Here is a 13,741-nt window from a genome sequence, read left to right as displayed (position 1 = left end):
AAGATGGATTTATTTGTGAGATACAGTTAGAAAATGTAAAATAAAAAAATAGGGTAAACAAATACGGCAAAAAAGAAATAAAAATGACCATAAATATTTTATTATTGACAAACGTTTTTTAAAAATGTTTCTTGGATTTAATAGTGAAGTGAAATTTCACTATTCAAAGAGTAACATAAATTTTTTTTATACTAACTATTCAATTCACAAAAGTATACACAATTGGCTCATTAATCTACATGCCTGTACAATGCTAGAATTCTTTTACATAAAATAAAGTACTAAGGAAAAATGAAATCAGTGTCTTTCTTTACAAGTAGAGATAATACAAACCTTTAAAAATACTATTTGGTATGTTTTCTGATACAAACTGCTGTTTTCAGGAACTCAGTGTTGTAACATTTGAGCAATCTCATGAATAATTTTTGTGCATTGTTTACCATGTGCTAAACCTTTTATGTGGATTTTCCATCAGTTTTCAATTAAAAAAATCAAAGCTTGGACATTCTGAGTCAGAGCGCCAAGGTCACACAGCCGTGAGTTATGGAACGGGCATTGAACCCAGGCTGACTCAGTGCTTGTGCCCTGGGGCCAGCCCTGCTTTCCATGTGTGGTCAGTTCCAGAAAAATCCGAGGCAGGGCTGTCAACAGCCGTTCTATGGAGGGGCTGCTTTGGATGAGTGACGATGATTCTTGAGATGGGCTCCTAAGACCTGGCCACAGACACACTGGACCAGGGCTGGGACCTGGCCATGGACACACTGGACCAGGGCTGAGACCTGGCCATGGACACACTGGACCAGGGCTGAGACCTGGCCACAGACACACTGGACCGGGGTCTTTCAGGGTAAATCCAGGCATTTCTCCCAGGAGGAGACAATGTTTATGTGCAAGCTTAGAATGGTGGTACTACTGAGAATAGTAATTCTTTCACTTCTTGATGTTCTCTTAAGGACTTTAAATAAACACAATTCTAGAGAAGAACAGGAAGGCAAAAACGCTCTTTCATGTTTGATTGCGGTGGAAAGAACAATGGCCAGAGAATCAGAAAAGGGTCAGATCTGAGGGGGAGCTCCCCACGGAGGGCTGCAGTGTGAGCTCCAGTCCTGGGGCGGATGGGCCAGAGAATCAGAAAAGGGTCAGATCTGAGGGGGAGCTCCCCATGGAGGGCTGCAGTGTGAGCTCCAGTCCTGGGGCGGATGCGTCTGCGATGCCCTCCACACTGGTGCCTTGAGGAGGAATTACTTGGAGCTGAGGGAGGCCCAGCCTCTAGGCTCAGGGACTGGGGAGCTTCTGAGAGGAATGGATGTGTGTTGGGTGGTGCTTAGGCTATTAATGTAAGTGCTCATTACGTTAGAAAGTATTATTTCAGTAAAAGATGTATATGCGTGTGCTATCAAACTAGTGAGAATCTGAGAAGCATATGATGAAAATAGAAAATGAGTTTTACTACAAAATAGCGGGTAAAGAGAACTGATAAAATTAAAGGCAAACCTTAACTTTGGGTCTGCGGCAGACACTGGGAACGCCGGATGGCTCATGCACTTTTGTTTCTCACAGCCTGTACTTCCCCTCACGCAGAACAGCCCAGTTTATGTGTAGAGAGAAACATTCTCTTAAAATAGAGATATTTTTGTAATAAGTTGAAACACAAAATTAAAATAACATTAAGATCTATAATTAATAAAGATGCTGTCAGCTGATTTTCCATAAAGACATTGTCTCTGCTCATAGCCTGTAAATGAGAAGGCCAGAATCTTTTCATGAATTAAACTTCAAGAAAGGAATCTGACATTGGGAGTAGATATTTTGGAATTGTTCATATCACCCAAATGTTTACCACTTTCATTTGCCACTGAGAAATTAGCCTGTCAGGTATGATTCCTGAGGAAACAGAGACCAATTTCACTTCCTTCCATTGAGTGCTCCTTCCAGCAAGCAGGGTGTGGGAAGTATTCAGAGGCAGTGTTTCTGAGTTTCCTACAAGCTGGGGTTGTGTTTCAAGCCATGAAGCTTTTCATATACATCTTCTCAAATATTTCTTACCCTCTAAACGGCTGAGCTGTTCTTTGAGCTGGCATAATTAGCATATAAAGGGCACATTTTCGTTTGGAGTCACTCGATGCATTTCAGACTTGATGTCTCCTGGAAATGACCTTGTGTCTGAGGTGCCTCAGAGTGTCTGCTGGAGACGGCTCTGTTCTCGAGAGTAAGGCGAGGCATTGTTCAGATGCAGAGTGGACCCTCACGCCAGCCCTGGCCTGAAAGACTCATGAGTGTGTCTTTAAATCCAGGTCGCCGGGAGCACTGGCATGGAAGAACACTTTGCTGTGTCCCAGCACTTCACTTGTTTTGCTGCACTGGTTGGCCAAACCCCAAATAATTACCTTAAAATGATGGCATGGAATGGTTCTCCTCTCAGTGTTCAATCACAGATGATCACTTTCACCTTCACCACCCAGCGGGAACTGCAGCGTTGCAGACCCTTGTGGATCTGAGTGCCCCTGGAGGTTCAGGCCCTCGCCTGCCGGCTGTGACCTTGGGCCCCCCAGGTCATCCCTGGGGCTCCAGGGGGTGTGGACACTAACAACCTGCCCCTGACTCTGGGGTTGCTGTGAGGTTTAAAGGAGTTCATGTATGAAATGGGCTTAGACTCGTGCTTGCCTCAAGGCTGTAGCCCTGAGTGGATGCTCCCCATGTTTAAGTAGCTGTGGGACCTCCCGGAAGCGCCTTAACCCTGAACCTCTACATCCACTCCACGTAGAGCATTGGACACCAAGGTCCTTTCCAGCTACAAAAACAGAAGAGCAGCAAAAACAATAAGACCATGGGCTCCGTGTTTACAAAAATCTGAGGTTCGTTTTTCCTCTTTTCTTTCCCAGTTCAGGCTGTTTCCAATCACAGGTGACTCACTTCCCTGCCAGGCAGGGACACAGCCAAGGCTGGCTGGCTCTCAGATCCAGTGGGAAGGGTGCTGACTTGGATAAGGAGTCTTTGGCTGTACTCCCCCAGCCCTCACTGAGCAGTGATACTGGTAACTCTGGAGGCCGTGGATTCGTGGTGGGCTCTGGGGCACCGCCTGCCCGCGTCTCGTGCGCTTGGATTCCATGAGCCTCAGTGCTTCTTTCCGAGTGAGGAATCCCCTAGGTCAGGGCTGGGCAGTGGCAGCTCCTGGTGTTTGTAAACGTCGGGGGCAGATCACAGCTGCACATATCAGGCCTCTTAACTGCTGCACAAGCCACTTTGGTTGTTAACGTCTGTGTTTCACACTTGCTCCACCATGAGCCCTTGTCATGATTTCAGATACAGGCCTGGGCCAAGGCACATCACAAGTCTGTCTAGTGCATGCTGCTCCCTTGAGATAAGCAGATAGAACAAAACAAGAACAAGAAAAGCAACAATGAAGCCTTGTCTCGTGGAATTTATACACACGGAATTATTCTCAATATCATGACTGAGTTTCTCTTGGATCACAGACAGGGCAGTTGGGGTCTCCTCCGATCCAACGTAGCCTTGACCTCACCATGTACTTATGTAAATGGACGTGGTACAATGTTTTAGAGTGTGCTAGAACACTGTGGAAGCGGCTTTAAAATATTCCATGATGAACTGTCCTGTCGTAGTAAACACTTAATCCTGAAATACAGCAACATCCCTGAGCACATATTGGATCGACTTCACTCAGCATTGCTGAGTGCATGGTGGGGAGGCATCAAGGGATCTGGCCTCAGAGTCCGCACCTGCTGCTCACTAGGTGGGTGGCCTTGCTTGTTTTTGAGTTCTGTTTCCTTCTGTGAAAGGGAGGACAGCAGGACACTTGATCTCCGACCTCCCACCTAGAACTCTGAGAAATAAATTCTTGTTTGAGCCACCCTGTCTGTGTTTCTCCGTCAGGGCAGCCCCACAGGATGAAGACAGACTTGCCCACATTCATCTCATCTTAGGTATGTGGCAGGATCAAATGTCTGCAGCCCACCAAGTCATGCGGGTCCAGGTGACAGCTTATCCTCCAATGTTTTCTGTCTCTTCGGTGCTGAATCTGGTTGGGTCAAGACAAGGAAGAGGGAGGGTCTGTGCTCTGTTGAGGGGAGTGGGTATGAAGGGTCTGCAGGGTGCTCGTGGGAGAGGCAGACCCTGACTCTCCACTCCAGCCCCTTCCTAAGCATCGACGACTGTCACTCAGAAAACTCAACAAGAGTAAGTTCTGACTGTATTTTTGATAACATGCTGAAACAGACTTCACATTATAAATAACTTTCAGGATTTAATATTTATTTTACTAGAAGAGGTTGATCTTCTTTATTAAATATACATTTCATGCTGCTTTTTGAAGAGTTGAAAATATTAAATATGAGAATCCTTTTGCAATAAAGTCATTTATTTTCAGGAAAAGGCAATATGGCTTTGCAGCAGAAACATATTGATGAGTATCTGGGGTTCAGTGCCCCCACTGATTTAATCACTCTGCAGAGGCCAAGAGGAAAGTTATTTTCGTCTGTTTAATTGTTGGCTTCACCAAGGACAGTTATGCCCTGAGCAGGTTCTCTGCTACTGACAGTGCTAATTTACTGCCTGAGTTGGCATTGAAATTATTTAAGACCAACAGGTGTTACAAAGGTAATTCCTCACTAGGTGAGCTGTGTGTGTGGCCCCACCCTGGCCAAGGGAAAGTTGGTCTTAGCAGAATCCGGACTGTGATGGGACGAGAGCTTCTTCCATGCAGAGCGGTGGCAAGAGTGCGGCGTGTGCGCTGGCACAGGGAAGGCATTCACCCCCTGGTGGAGCAGATTCCTCATGACGGACCCTGCGGCCTCCCTCTGGTTTGTAAAATGAGATCCAGAAAGCCGCTGCCTCTGGAAGGGCCTCCTGCCATCGGGGGACCCTTGGCTCCTGACGACAGGGTCTCCATGCAGGCATCAGGGAAAGGGGAAGGCTGAGTGTTCTGTCACTGTGTTTCCATCAAAAGTAGGTTCTCTGTCACTTCAAAGAAACACGAAGCCAGCATAAAATACGGCCTTCAGAAAACCAACGCCATTCACTGGGCTAGACATGGATGGACCAGAAGCTCTGACGGACTCGGCCTCCTCGTTCTCTCGTTGTGCGCTCTGTTCCAGCTCAGGGAGCATCGGTTTAGGGAATTCAGGAATGTAGGGATTCCTGTCACGTGTGTGTATTCATGTGCACGTGGAAGCAATCAGGTTGGAGGAATAGTCCCTATGGGGAGGGGCCACAAAGGCGGCATCTTTGAGAATTCATGAGCGCTGGCCTCTGTCCACATTAGTCCCAGGCCAGCTCTTGTGCTTGGAGGAATCCGTCGTGGGAGGACCCACCTCGGTGTGGAGATTCGTGCTACCAACAGCATCTGCCGCATTGAGGGCACTGAACGAGGGCCCTGAATGGTTTGAATTTACTTTCCCTGTGGGATGAGATGTGTCACTGCTGTTCATTTCTGGTCTCGGGTCAGACGTCAGCCAGGACAAAGCCATCCGGGACTGTAACCAGGAGGATGGGGTCCCGGGGCCTCCATGGGCTCTGCAGAGCCCCCAGTCCTGCTCGCACTCTGCGTCCTGGAAGGTGACCCTGGCCGGCTGGGCCCCAGCAGATCTGAGAGCTGGCCTGAGTCTGGGGCTCCTTCAGGTTCAGCCATGCCCGTCTCCGTACCAGCAGTGGTGTCGGTGCCTCCCCGGCTGCAGCCTTGTGGGGGCCTCTTCCTCTTCAGCTCGTCCATGTACCCCTAGGCCTCCCTAATCCCCCATATCCTTCCGGTTTCCAAACAGGTCCCCCTCAGCTTTGGCCAGGAACTCCCCCACCCCCAGTCCACTCCCCCGAGCCCCCCAGTTCCCCTCCAAGCCCCCAGTCCTCCTCAGTCTTCCCTCGAGCCCCCCAGTCCTCCTCAGTCTTCACCCGAGCCCTCCAGTCCTCCACAGTCTTCCTCTGTGACCCCTGGTTCCCCCCTTCAGTCCCCCAGTCCGCCTAGTCTTCCCCTGAGCACCCCAGTCCACCTCAGAGCCCCCCAGTCCTTCTCAGTCTTCTCCTGAGCCCGCCAGTCCCTCCTGAGCCCCCCAGTCCTCCCCACCCTCGTTTCCCTGGGCTCTGGCAGTTCCAGCACTGGGGACCCTGCCCTATGCTAACCTTGCCTGTTTCAATGCGTGGAAAACCCTCGAGGTGCGTCCGACGGCACCTGGCAGGGCTGACCGTGGGCCTGGCGTTCCCAGGCTCCATGTCCTGGGGCTGCACCACCCTGCATCCGCTTCCTGACTCCTGAAGAGGGGTCCGGTACTCACAGGGGAAGGCGTGGTGAGGGCTCAGACACTCCTAGCTCGCCACAGAGGTCAGGTGCAGTGAGACACTAAGATCTCTTCATTTTCTTTCTCCAGGAAGATTTCTAATGTTCCTAGAACTTGAAAAGCAGGAAAAAAAGCCAAACTGTTTTTCTTCTGCTACACACTTAACACGTTCCACACTTCAGTCCTGAAACCAGATGTGGGGGCTTCTCCCAAGCTGACCAGCTCTCCTTCACCAGCTGAGAGTCCTATAATTCCGTTTACTTCTGCTGCTACCTACCTTGCAACTGTGTCAGGTCTCATGGGTTAACAGCTCCATCCCACGAGGCTGCCCCACTTCAGGTGCCAGGGAAAGTCCAGGCCTGTCATCCATGGGAGGTCCCTGTGACCCCTCCTTGGGTTCAATCCTGTGCTGGAATGGCTCACAGAACTCAGGGAAACATTTCACTTATACTCACCCATTTATCACAGAGACTCAGGAACAGCAGACAGAAGAGATGCACAGGGCACCGTGAGGGCTGAAGCCTCCACACCCTCTCAGGGTGCCCCATCTTCCCAGCACCACCACTGGGTTCCTCACATGGGCACAGTGGGTTCTTTCCTTGGTCAGTGGTGATTACATGTGTCTCAAGCCCCACTCCTCTCTCCGGAAGGCTGGGTGAGGTTGAGGGTCTCTAACCCTCTAATCATAACCCTGCTTCCCCTGGCAAGCCACCTTAACCCCCTAGCTCTCTAGGGACTTTCCAAAAACCATCTCAAAGTAAGGCCAGGTGTGGCTTAAATAGGCTTCTTATAGACAACAACCTCTCACCTTACAGTTCCGCAGCTGTCTCAAGAAGGAAGACACCAGATCTTATAGCGAAAGACCCTCCTGCTGTTCTGCTCACTAAGGAAGCGATGAGGGTTTTAGGAGCTGTGAGCCAGGAATCCTGGATGAACATCTGTGTTTCTCATTTAAATCACAGCTCCACAGAACTTTCTCACCCCGTCTGATCCCAGAGCAACCCCTGCTGAAGTGGCAGGTTTGAGCTTTTTATGGAGCTTTTATGGAGCTTTTTATGGAGGTTATGAGCTTTTTATGGTTTGAGCTGCTTTTTTCCATCCCCTCTCCTCCCTTCCTCTTTCCTCCCTCTTCTTCTCTTCCCTCGTCCTCATCTTTACCACAATTAAAAGAAAGGAAGGGAGTGCACTTAGAGAAATTAATGTAACGGGACAAAATAAACAATAGGCATGTCACGGGGGACAGGGACATGGAAGCAAGACAGAGGCAGAGGCTGAAACGAAGCCTGGGAGGAAGGCATGGGCTCTGCCTCCCGAAATGCTGTTCCCTCTAGTAGGGGGGTAGAAAGACAAACGCTATAATGTGCGGGATGCAGGATTTACGAGTTAAAAACATGCCAGCTGTTCATGAAAGTAAACACCTGTGAATGTCCATGCGCCCGTGTGTTCTAACGTCCTCACTGCTCCAGGTCCTCTGCCCCTTCCCGTAATCACGCTCGCACCAGCGCTGAGAACGGGCTCCCATGATCACGCTCACACCAGTGCTGAGAACGGGGTCCCACAACCACACTCACACCAGTACTGAGAATGGGCTCCCGTAATCACGCTCACAACAGCACTGAGAACAAGTTCCCGTAATCATGCTCACACCAGTGCTGAGAATGGGCTCCCATAATCATGCTCACACCAGCGCTGAGAATAGGCTCCCGTAATCATGGTCACACAAGCACTGAGAATGGGTTCCCCTAATCACACTCACACCAGCACTGAGAACGGGCTCCTGTAATCACGGTCACACCAGCATTGAGAACAGGTTCCCGTAATCACACTCACACCAGCACTAAGAACGGGCATTCCCAGCCCTCTGCTGCTCCCCCTGGGCCAGAGGCAGGACCAAATCCCACCGTGCTCAGTCATCAAACCTTGGACATCCCAATCTTGCTGAAGCATAGAAAGAGGCTAACAGGTGTCACGAGAACGGCACAGACTCTGGGAGCAGAAGGTTCACATCCATGTTCTGTCAGGCTAGCTGTGTGTCTTTGGGTAAATTAGCAACCTCTTGGGGCTTCAGTGTAACATCTTCAAAATACTGTACTAATAACCACCTCATAGGATAAATCTGAAAGATTTAGGAGACAATAAATTTATAAAAGTCCCCAAATAAAATACAGCAATGTGGAGAGGCAGTGAGGCGTGGTGAAAGTCATGGACTCTGGAAAGACACACAAAGGGCTGAACTCTCAGCTCCCCAGAGGAAAACACAGTTGTTCACACTTACACCTGCCTGCACCCCTCCTTCTGCCTTCAGCCTTCCCTGGTGCCCAAGAGTCACTCTATCATCACCTCCATCCACCATCACCTCCATCCACCATCACCTCCATCCATCATCACCTCTCCGTTCCATCAACACGTCTCTGTCTGAAGAACACTGTGCAGCTATTCCTTCAGAGTGAGACTGCTGGTAATACAGCCCCTTTGTTTGTTTGTATCTGAGGCTCTTTCTTTATTTCTGTGTCATTGCTGAAAGATATTTTTCTGGATATAAAATTCTGGATGGACAGCTCTTTTCTTTCAGCACTTGACAAACGTGTCGCTTCCTTCTGGCCTGCACAGTTTTGGTGACAAATCGGCTGTTATCCAAACCACTCTTCCCCTGAAGGCAGGTGATGTGCTCTTTCTGCGCTGGCTGTTAGTAAGATTTGTTTCCTCATTTCTGGCTTTCAAACATTGGGCTATTGTGCATTTGAACATGAATTTCTTAGGTTTTATCCTAATTGGGAGAGGACACTTACTTTCTTAAATCTATAGGTTTATTTATGTCTTCCACCAAGCTTGGGAAGCATTTACTCATTTTTTTTTCTTTCCAGCTTTTTCCATCCTGCATTCTTTTTTCCCTTTCATAGTTGCTGATGGGATGATATGCAGAACTTTTGTTGAGCCCCTTAGGACTCTGAGGAACATTCATTTGGTTCCCAGTCTATTTTATTTCTGCTACTACTATTTGTTTCAGATTATTGATGTTATTATTCAGATGACTGATGTTCCTTAAGTTAGCTGATTTTGTCCTTGCTAGTGTTCATTCTTCTACTGAGCTCATGCATTGAAGTGTTGTTGTTGGTTTTGTGTGTGGGTGTTGTGTTATTTTTGATGATTGTATTTTTTCAATTTTAAAATTACCATTTGGTACACAAGTACATATTTATTTATTCATTTATTTTTTGCTGAGATGTTTTATATTTCCATTTCCTTCAAGAGTGTTCTCAACGGCTCATTGTAGCATTTTTAACATGGCTGCTTTAAAATCCTTATCTGGCTCCTATGAAAATCTTCTATGTAAGACGCTGGTTTTTAGGTAAATCTTCTAGTTTGGCATGTCAGCCGGTCCAGGTTCGAATGCACTTCCTGGCTCAGTTTTGCCGTCAGTGGTCCAATGTCAATGTCAATGGGCCCTCTGCAGTGCTGTTTTGGTCCCTGCCACTGTCTTCTCTAGAAGGTGTGACTTTGCTCCCAGTGTCCCTGTCCTGGGTGGGGAGGGGGAGGCCCCTGCCTGTGCCTGCTGAGCAGGGCCAGGAGGCAGCTTCCACACTGATCCTCCTCAGGACGTTGCCTTCTCATTGCCCCGAGGGGCAGGGGGATCAGGGTTCTCCCCTCGAAGGGGGGGCAGGTGCAGTTACCGCAGCCCACTCTGTTGGGCTTCACTGCTTCAGATCATGTGGCTGGAGAGGGCAGCCTCTGTGGGGCTCCTGTGTGTCTGTACTGGTGGGTGTTTCTGGGCTCCTGTCACACCCAGGCTAGGGTATAAAGGAGACTGGAAACCCCCAAGAGCTCACTGCTGAGTCATTTGCAGGTTTCCAGGGTCCCTAGTTAGTTTGCCCGCCTTTTCCTCGGTTTCAGAGCCCTCTAGAAGGTGGCTTAATGTTTTGTATGGGGTTTGTGCTGTGAGCAGCTAGAGGAGTGAGTCAGATGGAATACATTACAACTCATGCAGAATGGGAGCCTCCACCCTTCCACTCTCTCCTGGGATGACCTTCAGCAAGGGACGTGACTTCTTTGAGGCGCAGACTGGCCTGTGAGGTTGGGATGCAGGCACTCCCTGAAGGATTCCGGTCGGAATGAGGCAGGATAATGTGTGTGTGGCACCTGATGGCTGCTGGGCAGCCCCCACTTCTTTCTTTCTGTATTTCCCTCACACCCAAGCCTTATGCTCCTCCACCCAGTCTGCTCTGATAATAGTAGGTTATCTTTTCCTTGGAACGTGACTGCTTCTGTTCCTAGACTGATCTGAATTATGAGGAGTCACATTATTTGCAATTAATGTGTGCCTGTCTTACCTCCTAACCTACGTAGATAACATTTAATATGTAGAATTTTACCATTGTGCAGTTAATGTGGTCAACATTCCATTTGATAGGGGAGGAATCTGAGGCCAGGGAAGGAAAGCGGCCTGCACAGTTCCTGGGTCGATGGCTCCATGGATATGGCAGATGTGGTCTAAGATGTATTTCTGTGTCTCGTCTCTGCCCACGAGGGCCCAGCCTCCCGAGGTGCATGAACATCCTGGCTGTCCTAGGTTCGCTTGAGACCCCCCAAGCAGCAGGTGTCCCGGCATGTCCGGTGGTTTCCTGCAACAGAGACCCTGCAGTGCATGATGGGCTGTGGGGGTCCCATGAGGAGGGCACGGAGTCTCAGTGTGCAGCTGGGAGCTCATTTCCCTATGGGAAGCAGCCCACAGTCCACTCCAGAGTGGATTATAATCGCAGAAAGATGGAGAGAAAATTCCACTCACTAAGCAGGGTCTGAAGCCCACTCACCAGAGCTCTGGCAAGGCCCCCTCCCCGCCCCCGTCCAGGGACGTTCCCGACTCAGGGGACCTGCCTGCTGAACAGGAGCACATGCTCGGGCTGGGGAGAGACTGCAGGAGGGCGCCAGTGTCAAACTCGCTGGCATCATTAAGGGAAATGTGCTTCAGTGTGGAACATGGAGGCTCCACTGAGGGCGTAAAGGTGTCCGGGGTTCAAATGTGCTCGAGTGTGGAATGCGGAGGCCCCACTGAGGACGTACACGTGTCCCGGGTTCCACCTGGAGCCGAGCCTGCCCGGGACAGGGCCGCGTGCTCTGCCGTTTGCAGCCCGACGGGAAACCGGCCTCGCAGCATCTCCCAAACAGACAAGGCAAACTTCTCAAGTGTTCTCAGATTCTCTCCCGGGAAAAGGAGGAGCTTTGTTTTTCAAGTCTTTATGTATTTAATTATTCATTGATTGCCTTTCTCCTTCACATAAAAAGATTACTAAGTTCCTTGGGACTCCTTTCACAGAATGCAAAACTATTCCACCTCTCAAAATAAAATGAAGAGAGAATAAAATGAATTCCAAATAAAATGAATAAAGAATAAGAAGCTACAGAGAAATGAAAGAAATGTGGCCAGTTACCCAAAACAGGGATTACGCAAAGCATTCCTCTGGTCTTCTTGACTGAATGGCCCACGGGGGAGGACGGAAGGCAGCTGCGTAGGAGGGTGGGTGAGGACTGAGAGGTCGTCAATATGATCAATATTCACGGCGACGGGAAAGTCCAGGGGCGTCCTTCCCCAACTTTCCTTTAAAAATGCGTTTCCTTTAGAAGCCCCGTCCTGAAGTCACCCAGACACGCTGGCATCTTCCTCCAGTAACTGTGGGAGCGTCGACGGGCCATGTGCAGAGACTGACAACATGAAGTACAAGAAAGGTTTGTGCTGTGACTGTTCACAAAGAAATCTCCAAAATAACCCGGAAATAGTAAAATTTATTGAGCACAGAGTTTGGGTCAGGCAGAAACATGCATCGTGTAACTCAGTCCCACAAGAACCCACCTGCTCCTCAGAACCTATGGGAACAAACCAAACTCTCTCAGAACCTACGGGAACAAACCAAACTCTCTCAGAACCTACGGGAACAAACCAAACTCTCTCAGAACCTACGGGAACAAACCAAACTCTCTCAGAACCTACGGGAACAAACCAAACTCTCTCAGAACCTACGGGAACAAACCAAACTCTCTCAGAACCTACGGGAACAAACCAAACTCTCTCAGAACCTACGGGAACAAACCAAACTCTCTCAGAACCTACGGGAACAAACCAAACTCTCTCAGAACCTACGGGAACAAACCAAACTCTCTCAGAACCTACGGGAACAAACCAAACTCTCTCAGAACCTACGGGAACAAACTAAACTCTCTCAGAACCTACGGGAACAAACTAAACTCTCTCAGAACCTACGGGAACATACCAAACTCTCTGCTTCTTATTCTAAGACTGAGGCTGTTCCCGCCACACAGAGAGAGTCCGTGCTCTCTGCTTCTTATTCTTACTCTAAGACTGCGGCTGTCCCCGCCACACAGAGAGAGGAGTCTGTGCGCCATGGGGGTTTTGAGAGTTCAGTGAGATGAAACCTTTAGTCATGGTGTCCTGGTTGTTGTTGGCTTGGCCATCAGAATGCCAGGGCAGAGACTGCAGTTGAGGGCAACTGGGAGATGCTTCAGCTGCAGGGCAAGAAGGGAGAGGTCGGATGCTTCATCCTCAAACCACAACCAGAATCAGCCGTGACTTTCCAAAGCCTGACCACAATGAGGCCATGTTTAGTTGTTAAACCCTTGACCACCTGTCTTGAAGGCAGTCCGGCTGTCCTTGGGCACCTGGGCCTGTGACCCTCCCTCTCTGGAGGAAGGTGTTTGTGTGTGCATGTGTGTCTGTTCGTGTGTGTGTGTAGGGGCAAGAGGGTTTGGTGTGTGTGTGTGTGTGTGTGGGCGTGCATGTGTGTGTAGTGGGCAAGAGAGTTTGGGAGGAGTGTGCATGTGTATGTAGGGGTGAGGGGGTTTGGGGAGAGTTTGGGAGGAGTGTGTGAGTGTGCGTGTGTGTGTGTAGGGGCGGGAGGGTTTGGTGTCTGTGTGCGTGTGTGTGGGCATGCATGTGTGTGTAGTGGGCAAGAGAGTTTGGGAGGAGTGTGCGTGTGTGTGTAGGGGTGAGGGAGTTTGGGGAGAGTTTGAGAGGAGTGTGCGAGTGTGCGTGTGTGTAGGGGTGGGGGGTTTGAGGAGAGTTTGGGAGGAGTGTGTGAGTTTGCGTGTGTGTGTGTAGGGGTGAGGGGGTTTGGGGAGAGTTTGGGAGGAGTGTGTGTGTGTAGGGGTGAGGGGGTTTTGGGAGGAGTGTGCTTATGTGTGCGTGTGTGTGTGCATGCATGTGTGCATGTGGGTGCGTGTGTGTAGGCGCGATGGGGGTCGGGAGAAGTGTGCATGTGTGTGTGCGTGCGTGTGTGTGTGTGTAGGGGCAGGGGTTTGGGAGGAGGCGGGGATGATATGGGGTGGAGGCGCAGCACTAGCAATAGGTGCTCCATGCAAGCTGAACTGAGTGTCCGAACCCTGAGCTCCTCCTGGACTCCTGGCCCCGTGTTACATGCTGGGTACACTGTGGTCAACAGCATGGA

General features: G+C 49.7%; 3 annotated features.

Annotated features, from left to right (window-relative positions):
* Positions 419-918: an enhancer, noted in NCBI's record as "H3K4me1 hESC enhancer chr2:886383-886882 (GRCh37/hg19 assembly coordinates)". NCBI's record gives its function as "activates a minimal SCP1, AML or CMV promoter by ChIP-STARR-seq in primed H9 embryonic stem cells {active_cell/tissue: H9 hESC(primed)}" and the evidence as "EXISTENCE:reporter gene assay evidence [ECO:0000049][PMID:30033119]".
* Positions 6,792-6,841: an enhancer, noted in NCBI's record as "active region_15219". NCBI's record gives its function as "activates an Ori minimal core promoter by ATAC-STARR-seq in GM12878 lymphoblastoid cells {active_cell/tissue: GM12878}" and the evidence as "EXISTENCE:reporter gene assay evidence [ECO:0000049][PMID:35858748]".
* Positions 10,821-11,322: an enhancer, noted in NCBI's record as "H3K4me1 hESC enhancer chr2:875979-876480 (GRCh37/hg19 assembly coordinates)". NCBI's record gives its function as "activates a minimal SCP1, AML or CMV promoter by ChIP-STARR-seq in primed H9 embryonic stem cells {active_cell/tissue: H9 hESC(primed)}" and the evidence as "EXISTENCE:reporter gene assay evidence [ECO:0000049][PMID:30033119]".

Source organism: Homo sapiens, chromosome 2 (assembly GCF_000001405.40).
Source record: "Homo sapiens chromosome 2, GRCh38.p14 Primary Assembly".
Lineage (NCBI taxonomy): Eukaryota > Metazoa > Chordata > Mammalia > Primates > Hominidae > Homo > Homo sapiens.
The sequence above is the reverse complement of the archived record's forward strand: the minus strand, read 5'-3'. Positions and strand labels throughout refer to the sequence as shown.